This window comes from Homo sapiens, chromosome 16, assembly GCF_000001405.40.
Source record: "Homo sapiens chromosome 16, GRCh38.p14 Primary Assembly".
Classification (NCBI taxonomy): domain Eukaryota; kingdom Metazoa; phylum Chordata; class Mammalia; order Primates; family Hominidae; genus Homo; species Homo sapiens.
In genome coordinates, this window is record NC_000016.10 from 15,579,728 (window position 1) to 15,597,681 (window position 17,954).

Below are 17,954 nucleotides of genomic sequence, written 5' to 3' on the forward strand. Positions count from 1 at the left end.
ATGGATGATTTTCTTCTGATAAATTGGTTTACCTTCACCAAAGGGAAAAAAACAACTAGTTCCCTCCCAGCACCCCTATCTGAGCCTCTCCTCACCCCCTGCCTTTGCAGAAGACCCTGGCTTTGTCATGACCATTTACTGAAGGCTCTCAGCCAAGGCCAAGCACTCCACTAAGCCATTTACTAACACTACTGCATTTCAAAATTGTATGCAATTTAGTATGCAGGATGTGCAGGTTTATTACATAGGTAAACGTGGGCCATGGTGGCTTGCTGCACCTGTCAGCCCGACACATAGGTATTAAGCCCAGCATGCATTAGCTATTTTTCCTGATGCTCTCCCTCCCCACACTCACCCTGCCCTCTCAATTTTTTTTTTTTTTTTTAAGAGACAGGGTCTTTCTCTGTTACCCAGGCTGGAGTGCAATGGTGCAATCATAACTCACTGCAGCCTAGAACTCCTGGGCTCAAGAGATCCACCCACCTCAGCCTCCCAAGTAGCTGAGACTACAGGAACACTCCATCACATGTGGCTAATTTACAGAGAAAATTTTTGTAGACATAGGAGGGTCTCACTATGTTGCCCAGGCTGGTCTTGAACTCCTGGCCTCAAGTGATCCTCCTGCCTTGGTCTCCCAAAGTGCTGGGATTACAGGTGGCAGGCACTATGCCCAGCCCATTACTCCCATTTTAAGCCTCACTGTGTATTTTACAGATGAGAAAACTGAAGCTTGAAGAGGTCAAGTTGCTTCTCCAAGTTCATCCAGAGGGTGGAAGGGCAGAGTCAGGTCTCCAATCAATCCTGGCCGCTCAGCTCAAGTGCTTTTTTTTTTTTTTTTGAGACAGAGTCTCGCTCTATCACCCAGGCTAGAGTGCAGTGGTGCGATCTCAGCTCACTGCAAGCTCCACCTCCCGGGTTCATGTCATTCTCCTGCCTCAGCCTCCCGAGTAGCTGGGACTACAGGCACCCGCCACCACACCCGGCGAATTTTTTGTATTTAGTAGAGACGGGGTTCCACCCTGTTAGCCAGGATGGTCTCGATCTCCTGACCTCGTGATCCGCCCACCTTGGCCTCCCAAAGTGCTGGGATTACAGGTGTGAGCCACCGCACCCGGCCAGCTCAAGTGCTTTTAGTGGTCACCCTCTCATCTGTCTCTCTGTAATTTTTTGTTTTTTTTTTCTTTCTTGAAATGAAGTCTCATTCTGTTGCCCAGGCTGGAGTGCAGTGGCGCAGTCTCAGCTCACTGCAACCTCCGCCTCCCAGGTTCAAGCAATTCTCCCGCCTCCCGAGGTGGTGGCTGACAGCCTCCCGAGTAGCTGGAATTCCAGGTGTGTGCCACCACGCCTGGCTAATTTTTGTATTTTTGGTAGAGATGGGGTTGTTTCACCATGTTGACCAGGCTGGTCTGAAACTCCTGACCTCAAGTGATCCGCCCACCTCAGCCTCCCAAAATGCTCATCTGTCTCCTTGTTGATGTCTTCTTTCCAGAAAAAGAAAAAACCAAACTGCAGAAGCAGAGAGAGGATGAGCTAATCCAGAAGATCCACAAACTGGTGCAGAAGAGAGACTTCCTGGTGGACGATGCGGAGGTCGAGCGGTTAAGGTGAGTGCACTGCGGGTACCCGATCACTGGGCTGCAGGACAGCAACCTTCTGCTTCCTTCCAGAACCCATCTTCTGCTCCTGGGACTCACAGCCTTGCCTAACAGGCATGGCCTTGATCCACAGTCTCTGGACACTGAATCCCAAGGAACCCCAGCCTTCTGGCTTGAGAATTCATTTTGTATATAAGAGAATTTCAAATCTGTGCCTCTTGAGGGAATGTTGTTCCAGGAAGTGACCAGGGAGGAGTCACATCCCATAATACATGGCAGAGCTTCCTTCACATCCTGTCACTCCTGAAGGCAATGTCTTGAAACTTCTGCTATCAGTTTCTACCGAAACTCTGCCACCTGAACTGACTTGCTCCCAACCTCTGTCCTCCCAACCTCCCAGCTTTGTTCTCCCCTTTCCCTTCCCCTTAGTGGCGCCAATGCCCTTTTCTAAGTATCAGGGTCTTCTCTTTGCATCTGCTGCCTTGACCTCGACAACCACAGCCCTGGAGCTGCAGTGTAAAAACATGTTGTAAATGTTGAAAATGTGGAAAGCTGTACATGTTGGTTCTTGATTTTTGTTTCCTTACACCAGAGCAAAGCTTTTAGGGCCTTTCACAAGGAAAAAGGCCCTTCCAACCCAGAGGGCAACTTGCTCTTTATTGTCTGTGTTCTCAGAGACCTTTCTTCAAGGGTCCTGGGACTAGCAGTTCCACTGCCCTTCTTCATGCTGCAATGGACTTCTGGTTAATGAGAGAAACCAACTTTTCCCTCCTATCCAAATATTATATTCTATGGTCGGGTACAGTGGCTGACGCCTGTAATCCCAGCGCTTCTGGGAGGCCAAGGTGGGTGGATCACCTGAGGTCAGGAGTTCAAGACCAGCCTGGGCAACATGGTGAAACCCCGTCTCTACTAAAACTACAGAAATTAGCCGGGCGTGGTGGTGCATGCCTGTAATCCCAGCTACTTGGGAGGCTGAGGCAGGAAACAATCATTTGAACCCAGGAGGCAGAGGTTGCAGTGAGCCAAGATTGCACCAATGCACTCTAGCCTGGGTGACAGAGTGAGATTCCATCTCAAAAACAAAACAAAACAAAAAATACAGAAAACTACAACAAATATTATATTCTCCTTACCTCCGGTTCTGCTTCCAGATCTAGAAGAAATTATCAATGCCAGTCTTGGGCAGGCAGACAAGCTGCCCCAACATAGTGAGACCCCCCTATCTCTACAATTTTTTTTTTTAATTAACTAGGAGTGGTGGAGTGCTCCTGTAGTCTCAGCTACTTGGGAGGCTGAGGTGGGAGGATCTCTTGAGCCCAGGAGTTCAAGGCTTCTTGAGTTACGATTGCACCATTGCACTCCAGCCTGGGTGGCAAAGAAAGACCGTGTCTCTTCAAGGCAGTTCAGCAAGTCTGCACCCACCTACTTTATCTTGGTGATCCTTGGAAGAGCTGGGGTGACTCGCTCTCTGAGACCTGCCTCATACTTTGTGGGAGCACAGGTGAATAGGGTGGCTTCAAAATACAAGGTCAGGAGAGGTGCTGCCTCACTCACTGACCCCCCAGCAGGGTCCTGTAATGTCCCTGCCTCTGCCCTGGGGTCACATACCTACCTCTGGGTAAGCATTTACCCCATCATTGATATGTGTCTCTGGTTCAGAGCAGGTTCACCAGATACAACATATACATACTGTACACGCATAACACGTGACAACATACATGCCCCATCCACAAAGCCTGTTGCTTAACCTATTGGTTTATTTCATTGGTTCCTTGATGCTTTCCTTGCTTGCTGTGTATCTTCTTTTCTTTTACCCATCTACTTTCACAGGGAGCAAGAAGAAGACAAGGAAATGGCTGATTTCCTGAGAATCAAGTTAAAACCTCTAGACAAAGTAACCAAATCTCCAGCCAGTGAGTATATACATTATTCATTCCCCTCCCCCACAAAAGAGAAAAGTATATTTCAGGCCAGGCCCACAGTGGATCACGCCTGTAATCCCAGCACTATGAGAGGCCAAGGTGGGTGGATCACCTGAGGTCAGGAGTTCGAGACCAGCCTGGTCAACATGGTGAAACCCCGTATCTACCAAAAATATAAAAATTAGCTGGGCACGGTGGCACACACCTGAAATCCCAGCTACTCGAGAGGCTGAGGCAGGAGAATTGCTTGAACCCGGGAGGTGGGGGTTGCAGTGAGCTGAGATTGGGCCACTGCACTCCAGCCTGGGTGACAGGGTAAGACTTTGTCTCAAAAAAAAAAAAAAAAAAAAAGGCCATTTCAGAGAAGTCTGGGAGCCATAAGGGGCGCAACAAAATGCTTTCTAGAGATCAGATCTAGAGATCAGATTTCAGCATGGGATGACAGCAGGCAGGACCAGCCTCACGGGCCTGCAGGCAGTTGCCTGGGGCCTCATGCCTGACCAGCCTCATGGGCCTGTAGGCAGTTGCCTGGGGCCTCATGCCTAGAAGGGTGCCATGCTTGGTTTAATGTTCTCCTGTTGCTGTCTAGAAATTGTTAATACGTTTGGAACATGGGGCCCTACATTTTCATATTGGATTGAACTCTGCAAACTACGTACCTGGTCCTGGTAGTTGTTCCTCCCTAATTGCAAAGTTTGGTGCATTTCATAGAAAGAATTGGGTAGCTACTGAGGCTCAGGGAGCTCTGGCCTCTCTTAGGTCTGGAATCTCTGGAGAAGCCAGAAGCATATGTCTCAGAATATTAACCTCATCAGATCCTCAGAGCAAAGAGGGTTTTATATGAAATAAGTTTGAGAAATGCTGTTTACTTGACCCTGTATTTGGAGAGTCCCAGTGTCCATTAGGATATTAAAGTGATGATGGATCCTGCTGTCAAGAAACTGTCTTTTCTTTGTTGACCCAGCGTTTCTCAAATGTGTTTAACTGCTGTATTAGTGAGGCCTCTTTCAGTTAGAAGAAATGGATGCCTGGCTGGGCGCGGTGGCTCACGCCTGTAATGCCAGCACTTTGGGAGGCCGAGGCGGGCGGATCACAGGTCAGGAGATCGACACCATCCTGGCTAACACGGTGAAGCCCCGTCTCTACTAAAAATACAAAAAATTAGCCGGGCTTGGTGGTGGGCGCCTGTATTCCCAGCTACTCGGGAAGCTGAGGCAGGAGAATGGCGTGAACTGGGGAGGCGGAGCTTGCAGTGAGCCGAGATCACACCACTACACTCCAGCCTGGGTGACACAGCAAGACTCCATCTCAAAAAAAAAAAAAAGAAAGAAAGAAAAGAAATGGATGCCCAATTCAAACTGGTCTAAGCAAAAAAAGGAATTTGTTGGAGAAAGAGCAACAAGAACTAGAGCCTCAAGGACTGAACACTATTACCTCCCCTCCTTTTCTTCTTTTTCTCATCTCTGCCTCTCTTTGCATGTAAGCATCATTTTTTCCTACAACACAGGCCTTCTCCATGGGACCAGAACCCTAGAACCATAGCTTAGCAACTCTGAAGCAATACCACAGGTTCTTTTCCCTGGTATCGAAATACATAAGTCTCAGGGAAATATTCTCACCCGCCCTTCTGGGATTATGTTCCCACCTCTTAGATCCATTACCATCACCAAGAGGCTGGGGGTACTGGGATTGGCCAGGAATGTATAACATGCCCACTCCTGCAGCCACAGGGACATGAGCTGTTAGAGGAAGAGGGACTTGAAATCTTGCTGGGAAGACAAAAACCAAAAGCTGCCACTGTCTATAAAACTACAAACCCAGTTTTCATTAACATCCTGTGAAAGATGGTTGGAGGGAGTAAGGAAAGAGAAGGGCAATGATCTCTTCTGCTGGCTCCTATAACCACAAGGCACGTGATCACTGCCGAAGGCCAGCATCCTCAGTGGACCCTTTCATGAAAGGCAAGGTAGAAAAACTCCACTTAGCAGCATGGAGGAGGAGCAAGGAAACTTGCCTTCTCTATTGGATTATGGGTGGAAAAAAGAAATGATTCTGGCGAGAAATCAAAACACCAAGCATGCACCACATGCAAGGGGCCAACTTTACACTACTCATCTGGTACTGGAATTCCAAGTTGAAAAATAAAAACTATTGTAAAACCAGTGAAATCTCTGGGATCCTAGCAGATTTAGCAAATGCAAAACTGCTCAGTAGGGATTCTTCTGGATCCCATGGTATACAGTATTCTCACAGAAAAAAGCAACCCCCTTGAAGATGAGCCCTCAATAAAAATGAAAAACCCGGCCGGGCACAGTGGCTTATGTCTGTAATCCCAGCACTTTGGGAGGCCAAGGTGGGCAGATCATGAGGTCAGGAGCTCGAGACCAGCCTGACCAATATGGTGAAACCTTGTCTCTGCTAAAAGTACAAAAATTAGCCAGGCATGGTGGCGCACACCTGTAATCCCAGCTACTCAGGAGGCTGAGCAGGAGAATCGCTTGAACCCAGGATGCGGAGGTTGCAGTGAGCCAAGATCACACCACTGCACTCCAGCCTGGGTGACAGAGCGAGACTCCATCTCAAGAAAAGAAAAGAAAAGAAAAACCCATGAAGAACTGAATCACCATGAGGAGAATCAGTAGATGCACCAAAGAGAATGTCCTCCCAAGAACCAAAAATATAGAACTATTTAAAAAGGAAAATAAACTAAGTACTTTTAAATGATCAAAGAGCTAAGAGAAGGAATAAAACCCAAAATGAAATAGTAAGATGCTATGAAAAAAGAATAAGTAGACATGCAAAAAACTGGCCTTCTGAAATTTTTTTTTATCAATAAAGTAAAAACTCAATGGATTAAATACAGAGACACAGCTGAAGGGAGAATTTATACATTGGAAGACAGCCCTGAGAAAGTTACACAGAATGCAGCACAAAGAGAAAAAGAGATGAGAAATATGAAAGAGAAGTTATAAAACCGAGAGGATAGAGTGAGAAGGTCCAACTTACATGTGATAGGCATTCTAGGAGATAAAACAGAGAATGGGAGGTGGAGGTATCTGAAAAGACAATGTATGAGCATTTTCAAAAATTGAAAAATATGAGCCCTCAGATTGAAGTGACTTGAACAAAATTTCCCATTTATCTATTTACCAAATACTTCTTGGATGTCAGGCCCTGTGCTAGGCTTGGCAGGTACAATGATGATAACAGCTGACTAGGAGAAGGGCTGAAAGTTAGGGTTGGAAGCTGAGCATTGAGGACCATATAAAATGAGGACTATAAAATGAGGACCAGCTGAGGATCATATGAAATGTGCATCAGCTCTCCATACCACCTGAACAAGGCCTGGAACAAGACCTGGCCAGGGGTTGCAGTGGGGCTGGGCTGCAGATGGTCAGGGCTCTGCTCACCTCACCTCTCTCTCTCTGTTCCTTTCTCCCCCTCTCCCTGTGCCCACATCTTGCTGCAGGCTCCCGGGCAGAGAAGAAAGCAGAGCCCCCACCTAGCAAGCCCACGGTGGCCAAGACGGGGCTGGCACTGATCAAGGATTGTTGCGGGGCCACCCAGTGCAACATCATGTAGCCCCCACGTGGGGTGCCCTGGGCCATGGGGACCCCCCCCCACCCTCTTGTCTTTATAGCCCCCATTTCACCGGGGCCCAAGAGCTCTCCAAGGCAGAAGGGGTTGAAGGCAAGCCCGTGACTGTCACCAGAGGCCATGGGCACGGCAGGCGGGCCTGGCCACCCTGTACAGAGTGTAGCAGTAGGGAGTCTCTCACCGTCGCATGGTCCTCCCCAGAGCATGCCGAACCCAGGAGTCTGTCTCACTGTTTATCCAAACACCAGGAAAGGTCCTCCCTCAAAAAAGCATATCTCCACTTCTCTCTAGCTGTATCTAACCCACCGTGTGAATGAACTGGGAGAGGGGCATGCTCCCCAGCTGTGTGTAGTCGTGACTTCTCAACAATCTAGCACCATGTCGGACACGTTCCCCATCCACCCTCCTAGCTCTGCTCTCAGAGCTAGGCACATGGGCACAGGTCCCCTCCCGTCTGTCCTCTCCCAGCAACTGTGCCCTGGAGGGCTCCACATGGCCCCCGTGTCTCTCGGGCACCACCCATATAGCAGTCCCAGAGGGCCCATCTGTAAAGATCGAGCTTGTGTGTGGTGTCGTGGTCACATCTCCCGCTTCCCCCCATCCTGTGTCTGGGCACAGTTCACATCAGGACAGCGTCCATTGTGCTCTCAGTCTGCCTCAGGTGTGTGCCTGGAGGGGGCCTGGACTGGCATGGATCCAGTGTGCAGAAGAGCCAGCAGGGAACCGGAAGCTCTGATGTCAAGGCCAGAGCAGTTGAGAATGGGACCCAGAGTAGATGCTGACCTGGGCACTCCACCATTCCGGGGCCACCACAGAGATGCCAGCAGGATGCCACTTTGCCAGCCCGACACACGGACCTTTGTAAAGAACAGCAACAGGCAGGAGAGGCAGCGTGTGACCAGATTGTGTCCCGTCATTGGGTGGCATATGTTAACTAGCTGCCAAACAACTTCAACCCGTGTAATTCATGTACATTTGCAACAGCCAGCCCGGTACAGCCTGTGTGACTTCTCTGTATGTGTGTGTGTGTCGTGACCAGCCTAAGTAGTTAGCATAACTCAAGATGCTGATGTGCAGTCACCCATCAGAGAAAATAAAAATGGAAACCACGTTCACAGCATTTTAAAAGTTTTTACTTTTTTTCTTGATTATGGAAGTAATCCATGTACATAGTAAATCATTTTAAAAGTACAAAAAGTATGAAGAAGTTTGTCTTAAAAAAAAAAAAAATTATTCCTCCAACTAGAGACCACTCTGATGTTTCGACGTTTTAAAAAAGTCTTTTTTTGTGCATTTTTTCATCGTTGACATCATATTGTGGTATCATTTATAACCAGTTTTTTCCTACTTATTATACCACCATCTTCCACATCATTAAAAGCTCTTTGTAAACATTAAACACTCTTCATAAATCATGCCAATGTCTGTTTAGTAATCCATCTTGTGGATGTACTGTAATTCATCTAATCATTTCCTCACTATTGGATGTGTAGACTGGTTCTAGGTTTTCTTATAAATAGTGTCTTGGATTAGCCAGGCATGGTAATGGGTGCCTGTAATCCCAGCTACTTGGGAGGCTAAGGCAGGAGAATCACTTGAACCCAGGAGGCAGACGTTGCGGTGAGCCGAGATCGTGCCATTGCACTCCAGCCTGGGTGACAGAGCAAGACTCCATCTCAAAAAAAAACAAAAAAAGTGTCTTGGGCCAGGCGCTGAGGCGGGAGGATTGCTTGAGTCCAGGAGTTCGAGACCAGCCTGGGCAACATGGCAAAACCCTGTCTCTACTAAAAATACAAATAGCTGGGCATATGCGGTGGCGCGGGCCTGTGATCCCAGCTACTTGGGAGGTGGGAGGATTGCTGGAGCCTGGGAGGTTCCAGCTGCAGTGAGCCATGATCACACCACTGTATTCCAGCCTGGGCAACAGAGCAAGATCGCACCCCCTGGAAAAAAAAAATAGTGTCTTGATAAACATCTAGGGGGATAAGGTTTCATCTGAATTTTTTATTTTTTCCTTAAGATAAACTCCTAGAAGTAAAATTATTGGGCCATTCATAAGTAGCATTTTCAAAATATTTGTAAATTGGCTGGGTGCGGTGGCTCGCATCTGTAATCCCAGCACGTCGGGAGGCAGAGGCAGGCTGATCACTTGAGGCCAGGAGTTCGCGACCAGCCTGGCCAATACAGAGAAACCCCATCTCTACCAAAAAATACAAAAATTAGCTGGGTGTGGTGACTTGTGCCTGTAATCCCAGCTACTCAAGAAGCTGAGGCAGGAGAATCTCTTGAACATGGGAAGCAGAGGTTACACTGAGCTGAGATTGCGCCACTGCACTCCAGCCTGGGTGACACAGCGAGACTTCGTCTCGAAAAAAAAAAAAAAATTTGTAGATCAAAAGGTCTTTGGTTGGACAGGCCCTCCCAGCAGGCTGCTAGACCCCAGTCCTCCCACTCTGCGTGTTCGCGGCTTTGGTCTGCACACCACTTCCCACCATTCTGATGCTGAAAAGGGTCCCTTGGGCTACTCAGTGCCACCACAATGGCCTCAGAGGACCCCGTGTCCTCCTTCACCAACCTAGACCAATCATGAAGCCAGACTCTTCGTGTACTGGGGATGCCATAATGAATGACCTTCTACTGGGTGACTTAAAACAGTGGAACCGTCTCCTTTCACAGTCCTAAAGGCCAGAAGCCTGAAATCAACCTGTCTGCGGTGCTCTGCTCCCTCTGTGGGGAAGAATCTTCTTTTGCCTCTTGCAGCTCCTGGTGGCTCCTGGCACCTTGGCAGTTCCCTGGCTGCACCACTCCAGTCTTCACCTCTGTCTCCACGTGGCCGCCTCCGCTGTATATGTGCCTCTGTGCACCCTCTCATCTTAAAAAGACACCAGTCATTGGAGTGAGGGCCACCCGAATGCAGTATGATCTCATTTGGACCCTTTCCTTAATTACTTCTGCAAAAACCCTCTTTCCAACCAAGGTCACATTCTGAGGCTCCACGTAGACATGCATTTGGGGAGGACCCAATTCCACCCACCACAGACCCCTCCCGCTCCAACGTGCAGTGAAAACTCAGGCTGCAAAGGGCCCACCGCCCTCTTTTCCCCATAAAAAATGTGGGTCAAGGCTGGGCACTGTGGATCATGCCTGTAATCCCAGCACTTTGGGAGGCCGAGGTGGGAGGCTCACTTGAGGTCAGGAGCTCATGACCAACTTGGCTAACATGGTGAAACCCCATGTCTACTAAAAATACAAAAATTAGCAAGTGTGGTGGCACATGCTTGTAATCCCAGCTACTCGGGAGGCTAAGGCAGGAGAATCGGTTGAAACCAGGAGGCGGAGGTTGCAAAGAGCCGAGATCGCACCATTGCACTCCAGCCTGGGCAACAGAGTGAGACTCCATCTCGGAAAAAAAAAAGGGGGGGCTTGGGGGGTCCGGGCGTGGTGGCTCAAGCCTGTAATCCCAGCACTTTGGGAGGCCGAGGCGGGCGGATCACGAGTTCAGGAGATCGAGACCATCCTGGCTAACACGGTGAAACCCCATCTCTACTACAAATACAAAAAATTAGCCGGGCGTGGTGGTGGACGCCTGTAGTCCCAGCTACTCAGGAGGCTGAGGCAGGAAAATGGCGTGAACCCGGGAGGCGGAGCTTGCAGTGAGCAGAGCTTGCGGTGAGCAGAGATTGTGCCACTGCACTCCAGCCTGGGCGACAGAGCGAGACTCCATCTCAAAAAAAAAGGGGAGAGGGGAGTGGGGGGGTCAGCGAGGTCTGACCTCAGGCCAGTTATACAGCAGTCACTCACAGATCCAACGAACCAGAGGAGATCAAACCCTCATCAAAATCCTGCCTCTGGTACTTCCGCTAAGCTCTGGGTACACCTACTGTATGTTCCTGTAATTCCTACTGATTTTTTTAAAAAAAGAAAACATTAAAAAATCCAATTTATTTAAGCTGTCACAGACGCTTCCAGATTACCAGGGCCACCTTCCAAGCTGGGAAACCTTGCAGACTGTGGGGTCCTGCACACCTAGACTTGCTCCTTTTAGAAGCCATGGAGGAGGTTGATAATGGGAATAACATTTATTGTAGCTTATCTCTATGCCTTGAGCAATGTGCTCACACTGGCTGGTTCCCTCCTCACATCAGCCTGATGAGTCAGATCCTGTTATTACTTCTCACTTTACAGATGAGGAAGTAGCAGTAAATCCATTACCCTTTTCAAGCGGAGGTTGCAAGAGGTTGCAAGCGGAGGCAGAATAAACACTTGAAACAGTGAGTCAGATCCTGTTATCACTTCTCACTTTACAGATGAGGAAGTGGCAGTAAATCCACTGCCCACGGTCCCAGGGGTTGTTAGTGACAGAGTCATCATTCATCTCCCTCCCTCCCCACCACTGTAGCCCCAATTGTTCTTTCTCTTCCCATCGGAGGGATTTAAACAGGTCTCTCCCATTTAAAAGCAAACAGGGCTGGACACGGTGGCTCACGCCTGTAATCCCAGCACTTTGGGAGGCCGAGGCGGGCAAATCACGAGATCAGGAGATTGAGACCATCCTGGCTAACATGGTGAAAACCCATCTGTACTAAAAATACAAAAAAATTACCTGGGCATGGTGGTGGGCGCCTGTGGTCCCAGCTACTTGGGAGGCTGAGGCAGGAGAATCGCTTGAACCTGGGAGGCAGAGGTTGCAGTGAGCCGAGATTGCGCCACTGCACTCCAGTCTGGAGACACAGCAAGACTTTGTCTCAAAACACACACACACACACACACACACACACACACACAACACAACACAACAACAACAACAACAAAAAAAGTGTCCTCTTCCTTTTAGAGAATTTAAAAAACAGGGTGAAACCCCATGTCTACTAAAAATACAAAAATTAGCAAGTGTGGTGGCACATGCTTGTAATCCCAGCTACCCGGAAGGCTAAGGCAGGAGAATCGGTTGAAACCAGGAGGCGGAGGTTGCAAAGAGCCGAGATCGCACCATTGCACTCCAGCCTGGGCAACAGAGTGAGACTCCATCTCGGAAAAAAAAAGTGGGGGCTTGGGGGTTCCGGGCATGGTTGACTGTGTGACTATATTATATCTATACATAATATATAGATATATATCTATATATAATATATAGATATCTATATATTATATATAGATATATATCTCTATTATATATAATAGATATATCTATTTATATATAGATATTATAGAGACATCTATATCTATATCTATATATAATATCTATATTATATTACGCCTGTAATCCCCGCACTTTGGGAGGCCGAGGCAAGTGAACCACTTGAGGCCAGGAGTTTGAGACGAGCCAGAGCAACATGGCAAAACCCCGTCTCAAAAAAAATTAGCCAGGTGTGGTGGCAGCATCTGTAATCCCAGCTGTTCGGAGGCTGAGGCATGAGAATCGCTTGAACCCGGTAGGAGGTTGCAGTGAGCCGAGATCGTGCCACTGCACCCCAGTCTGGGCGATAGAGTGAGACTCTGTCTCAAAAAAAAAAAAAATGTATTTCCTGATTCTTGCCACACCTGCCCTTGATGCATCAGACTCTGGCTGCTGAAATACCAAGGGCGGCGACCCTGCAGCCCCAGTGTGGATTTGTCTGCACTTGCTGATACCAGAAACTGCAGTGGGGGCAGGTGGGTGGTAGGAGCGGGGGTTCCCTCATGCCCAGGCCCTGCACCTGGGAAGCCTTTGGAGGCCATCACATGAGCTGCCTGAGGCGGATGGAAGAGACGGTGCCAAGCAGGCCCAATATGTTCCCTGCTGGCCCTGGTACTGCTCCCCTGCGGATGCTCCTGGTTGGTTCACCACCTCGTGCGGAGTGAGGAGCTGAGCAGCCCAGCCACTGAGCAGGATTTCCCTCTAAGAACGGCCCCTTCCACCCTGCAATGCCTTCTTCCTCTGCACCTCAGCTCCCCCACTTCCAAGGCGTTCCTTCCCGGAACGTGTGTATTCTTCTCTTCATCTTGCTAAGGAAAGTTCTGGCTCTTGGTGCTCTGGCTTGGCACCTTCTAAGCTCTCTAGCCCTTTTCCCCCCGCCCCCCCCCCCCCCAAAAAAAAGCGTTCTCAGCCAGGCGTGGTGGCTCATGCCTGTAATTCCAGCACTTTGGGAGGCTGAGCCCAGAGGATCACTTGAGCTCAGGAGTTCAAAACTAGCCTGGCCAACATGGTGAAACCTCATCTCTACTAAAAATACAAAAATTTGCCAGTGTGATGGTGCACATATGTAATCCCAGCTACTCGGGAGGCTGAGACAGGACAATCGCTTGAACCTGGGAGGTGGAGGTTGCAGTGAGCTGAGATTATGCCACTGCACTCCAGCCTGGGTGACAGAGTGAGACTGTCTCAAAAAACCAAAAAACAAAACAAAAAACCACTCAGGCTTAGCCATTTCTCTGGGGTCTTCATTTCCTTATGAAGACTCTCGCAAAACTGGTATGAAGTAAAATTTGTTTGCTTTTTTCCTATTAATGTCTTTGTCAGTTTAAGGCCCAGCCAGGGACACTAGGAGAATTGAGGAAGTTTTGCCGCCCACCGCCCCCCCCCCCAGCAATGGGGACAGCAGGTGGGTGGAGGCCGCTGAGGGCTTCTGCGCCATGACTCACCCTCTGCCCATGGAAGCAGCTAGAAAGTGAAGGTGAATCCCAAAGCGCAACGCTCCTTCTGGCAAAGGGAACAGAGAGGGAACAGATCTTCTTCAATCAGCGCAGCCCCCTCTGCTACGGACAGGTCTGCTCTCCCCCAGACAGCTGTCTTCTAGGCCCCCACCTCTGAATCACCTTCCTAGGTGGGAAACAAACAAAGATAAATGCAAAGCCACCGTTCCAGCCCCAGTCCACACCTAACAAGACCTCCTGACGCCGCTCAAAAGGGGCACGATGGCTACTCAACTTTTTCTGCACAAATTTGCCATCGTGAAATGTTTGGAAAGGTCTTTAGCAGCTTTTAACATTGCTGAACTTGAAAAAAATGTCATCAAGAAGCAATTTACTCAAGTCTCTTCTGGGTCCTTTTAAATTCTTGCCAGAGGGTGCTGGTGGCAGGGGTGACGGGGTAATGGCGGTCTCAGGGGATGGGAGGGCTTCACAACTGTATCTGTGGAATAACTCTTTTCCAAATTGGCTTATTCAAAAAGCATGCTTAGCAGTGACCAAAAACGAGACAGCGGGCACGCTGGATTTCTTTCACAAGAAGAGAGAGCCTAGGAATTAATAGAGTTTTCTAACTGGAAGGTTTTTGTGGTTACTGTATTTTCCCACATGTAATTATAAGCTGGAACAAAGGCTGGAAAACTTGGAGGATCCTGACGACGAAGGGCCCACCATCCAGCCACCTGCTTCGGCGTGTGCTGAGTTTAAAAGGCCTCTAAGATGTAGACGGATTTACTCTCCACCTCACAATTCTATTTCCAGAAGGGGAGAGAAGTTGAGGAGACCCAAAATGAAAGATGGCAGAACTGTATTGGTTTGTAATTCCTCCCCACAGACAGACAGACAGACAAAACCACTCACTTGGGAAACTCAAAATAGATGCTCGCTTGTAAAGTTTATTGACAACTGTTTGGTCCCAACACACAAAACAGCACTTGAACCACAACAAAAGTGTTCAAACAAAGTAGACAACTAAGAAAAACATCTCTTTCCCCCAAACCCAATCCAAAACAAACAGTGCAAGATGGGAAAGGGGGTTTTGGTGATAACTTTTGTCATTTTTTTAAACAGATAAATTTAATCCGGTATATCTTTCCACCCAGAAATAAAGAATTACATTGTCTTAATGCTCAAACATCATTTTACCACATCATTTAATTAAGCCTCTGGATAAAAAAATAGATAGCAATTGGACTGGCCATTGTGGAGTACATTATGAACACAATGTGCTTCCGAAGTCTTCTCTCTCATTTTCAGACAGCAATTGTTAAGAGTCACACACACGTCCCAGACCTAAGCAGCAACTCCAGTGAATGGTACTCAGACACACTCACGGGACAGCACAGAACTTGATTCTTCTTTGTCTGTTGCCCAAAGAACCTGTTCTTTGAGTCTGTTCCAGGTGACTTGTAATGATACCTCTTACGGTTTTAAAGTCCACCACTCTTTACATGCTAGCAGAACTGAAGTCCAAGCGTGCAAACTCAGCCTTATGAAATCTTAGAATAAGGCAACTGATGTTCTCAACACCAATTATTATTACTTTGTTTAAAAGCTCCTTTAAAAAAAATTGCACATTTGCATTTCACTTCCTGTAACACTATGTCTGTAGAGGAAATGCCTTCAGGAGGATTCGGAGAGTGCCATAATACTTACAGGGTTTTTTCCATGGTGTTCTGTCTTGACTGGGGCCATGTGTTGAGAACTGGGAGTCACTGGCTTCATTTAAAAGATTTGGGGAACAAAAAATCTGACTTGTAAAAATCTCTCTATAGCCCTTATTTTGTGGCATTTTATCAAAATGCTATGAAATCAGAGTCCATTTTCTGGCTTTCTAGAAGTTACCAAATATAAACATTTCCCCAAAAGAAACCATCTAACTAGTGGAAGACCTTACGCCAACAGGTTCTTTCTGCTCTATGAATGAATCCGCCTTTTTTGCCGGACAAATACAATCCATTGTAAATGTCAGGTTTCTCTAGAGGGGGGTGAGAGGCCACCCGTCAGCGGACACCTCAGGCACCTAGAGAGGAAGGCCATTCCACACCAGACGCCACAAGAAACCCAGAGATGCTTCCAACAGCGAGAAGTAACGAGAGTAAAATCAGACACGATTAAAAGATGCTGAGCTGACATACACACACATAAAGCTTCCCAGCTACCGATACCAGCTTTAAAATTACAATAACAAGGTTAAGTGGATCAACCTTGGCCTTCCTATGTGTAGGTAGAATTCCTGTCTCTTCCCAGTGGAAATCGTATTGATCCCGCTGCTGCTGAAGCACCTCCCCACTCAGCTCTGATTTGTAATTTATGCACTTGATGCATATTTTAGAAAATCAGGCTCTTTCCAATGCTGCCTCTCGACACACAATAATGTGTGTTGTAATCCAAATGCTGACTTTAAATCCATGACATCGAGACCATCTCCTTTTCCTTAACCTAACCCATATCAAACTGGAACACAGAAGGGAAGCTTCAAACATCCTCAACTTTCTAGAAAGCTCCTAAATGGAACCCCAAAGTAGAAACGTTTAAAAAAATTTGTGATGAAGCCACTTTTGTCAACTACAGACATAGTTTAAATAAAAAACAAGGCACACTTACAAGTCACATGGAAGCCAGGAACCTTCACATTCCAACCTGAAAATACACTCCGAACCCCTCGCCTACCCTTCTCCTTTGGTGTGTGAACACACAGGCTAGCGGGACAGGCTTTGCTTCAAAGACATGCCACGCACTGGGTTAATACTGTCGGAAACACCAGTAAGCAAAGGCTGAGAGACTCTATTATGCTACATGTAGGATGACACCACCGACGTGGCTCAATGGAAGCAAAACCGCTTCCTGCTAGTTGAGTTTTTAGTGCTTTCTTCTTTTGGAACACCATTGTATTTCATAATAGTTACTAAAAATTTGGTAAAATATATTAAGGATTCTTTAACAAATGCCACAAGTTCTTCAAATAATTGAAAAAAGAAAGAAAAAGGAAGAAGAAAAGAAAGACTTCAGCTCAAAGCTGTGTTCAATGGAAAAGAAAAACATGATAGAACACAGGTAAGATGAAGTCAATGGCTTCGGGGGGTTTTCATGACACAGAAAAGGATGTATTTTTGAAACCCACTTTTGTGTGCAGAATCAGACAGTGTTTTCCCATCCTAATTCTATATTCCAAATGGGAGTTAAAGCTTGGTTATAGGTGCTAAGGAAAAGTTGGCTGCCAATTTGACTCTATTTTTGGGTTGCTTTTTGGCCGGGCTTTCCACGGGGTCCTTGCTGAGCAGTGACTCGGAGGTTTCCGAGGAGGGGCAGGGAGGCACGGGGACAGCTGCTGAGATGCAGGACGAGCTGGAGTCAGAGGTCAGAGTTTTGCTCTTTCCTGGTATTGGAATCTCCATTTTTTCTTCTTGGTTTAAAATCATAATTTCTGTAAACACAGAAAAGCAAACAGATTCAGATCCAGGAACTGTAAGAAGTGTGGGTTTTCTCTTCCTTGCTCATATTTTCTCAAAAGATAATAATAGTAATAAAAAGCTTCTAAATGCTACATCTATGCCACAGTTTACATATGAGTTGTGTGGCCAGTGAACTTGGCACAGAAATCAAGTATCTATAAACTGCATCCCACCTCTCCCACTGGATTACAAAGTTGGAAAGATCTCTATTTTGAGCTATAAATGAATGAGCAAAGGTTAAAACTTTTTGTTTTTCCATTTTGGATTCTCTGCCCATTCATTCTGCCTGCCAGATATTAAGGACCCATAAAGCTATCCACGACTTAGAGACTTCCTGAGGCGGGAGGCCGTGGGTGGTAGGGGGTGGGGTCGGAGCATCTGGGTGTCAGGGAGCTCCTGGCCTGCTCCATTTAGAGAGGACCTATGCTCCCCATGGGTCTATTACCGGGGATAAGGAAGGACTACGCAGAGTGAGAATTACCCTCAGAACCCAGGAAGTTGAGCACAGCCAGCTTTCCCACAGTGCTTCTGGACTGCCATTTCTGTGGCTGAGCCACATGTAATTCACCTGCTCTACACACAGGGCCACGCTGCTTGAAAGAGATGCATCATTATGCCTTAGACTCCCACTGCATAGGGCACAGGGCTCCTGCTCCCAAAGGCCCATGGAAGGTGAGAGTGGCAGAGGGGACAGCAGAGCCAGCTCCCTGCCTAGG

General features: G+C 47.6%; 3 protein-coding genes across 33 annotated transcripts in view, besides 3 other annotated features; 2 read left to right on the forward strand and 1 right to left on the reverse strand.

Moving 5' to 3' along the window:
- The window catches only part of MPV17L-BMERB1 (MPV17L-BMERB1 readthrough), a 192,506-nt gene extending 183,974 nt beyond the window's left edge, over positions 1 to 8,532 (forward strand). The window contains exons 4-6 of the mRNA NM_001414674.1: positions 1,490 to 1,604; positions 3,429 to 3,511; positions 6,990 to 8,532. Of these exons, the coding sequence (NP_001401603.1) occupies positions 1,490 to 1,604; positions 3,429 to 3,511; positions 6,990 to 7,102 (311 nt within the window). The 3' untranslated portion in view covers positions 7,103 to 8,532. The remainder of the gene's footprint in view (positions 1 to 1,489; positions 1,605 to 3,428; positions 3,512 to 6,989) is intronic.
- BMERB1 (bMERB domain containing 1) overlaps positions 1 to 8,532 on the forward strand; it is a 153,672-nt gene extending 145,140 nt beyond the window's left edge. For both annotated transcript variants that reach the window (NM_033201.3, NM_001142469.2), the window contains exons 4-6: positions 1,490 to 1,604; positions 3,429 to 3,511; positions 6,990 to 8,532. In NM_033201.3, coding sequence (NP_149978.1) covers positions 1,490 to 1,604; positions 3,429 to 3,511; positions 6,990 to 7,102 — 311 coding nt within the window. In that variant the 3' untranslated portion in view covers positions 7,103 to 8,532. The remainder of the gene's footprint in view (positions 1 to 1,489; positions 1,605 to 3,428; positions 3,512 to 6,989) is intronic.
- Positions 7,357 to 7,858: an enhancer, noted in NCBI's record as "H3K4me1 hESC enhancer chr16:15680941-15681442 (GRCh37/hg19 assembly coordinates)". NCBI's record gives its function as "activates a minimal SCP1, AML or CMV promoter by ChIP-STARR-seq in primed H9 embryonic stem cells {active_cell/tissue: H9 hESC(primed)}" and the evidence as "EXISTENCE:reporter gene assay evidence [ECO:0000049][PMID:30033119]".
- Positions 10,799 to 11,998: an enhancer, noted in NCBI's record as "P300/CBP strongly-dependent group 1 enhancer chr16:15684383-15685582 (GRCh37/hg19 assembly coordinates)". NCBI's record gives its function as "activates an origin of replication core promoter dependent on BRD2, BRD4, P300/CBP, MED14 and CDK7 cofactors, with strong dependence on P300/CBP, by STARR-seq in HCT116 cells {active_cell/tissue: HCT116}" and the evidence as "EXISTENCE:reporter gene assay evidence [ECO:0000049][PMID:35650434]".
- Positions 11,345 to 11,639: an enhancer, noted in NCBI's record as "tiled region #10490; K562 Activating non-DNase unmatched - State 5:Enh". NCBI's record gives its function as "activates a minimal TATA promoter and a strong SV40 promoter by Sharpr-MPRA in K562 cells {active_cell/tissue: K562}" and the evidence as "EXISTENCE:reporter gene assay evidence [ECO:0000049][PMID:27701403]".
- Positions 14,660 to 17,954, reverse strand: part of MARF1 (meiosis regulator and mRNA stability factor 1) — a 48,768-nt gene continuing 45,473 nt past the window's right edge. For all 30 annotated transcript variants that reach the window (XM_047434955.1, XM_047434954.1, XM_047434950.1 and 27 more), the window contains one exon: positions 14,660 to 17,210. In XM_047434955.1, coding sequence (XP_047290911.1) covers positions 16,966 to 17,210 — 245 coding nt within the window. In that variant the 3' untranslated portion in view covers positions 14,660 to 16,965. The remainder of the gene's footprint in view (positions 17,211 to 17,954) is intronic.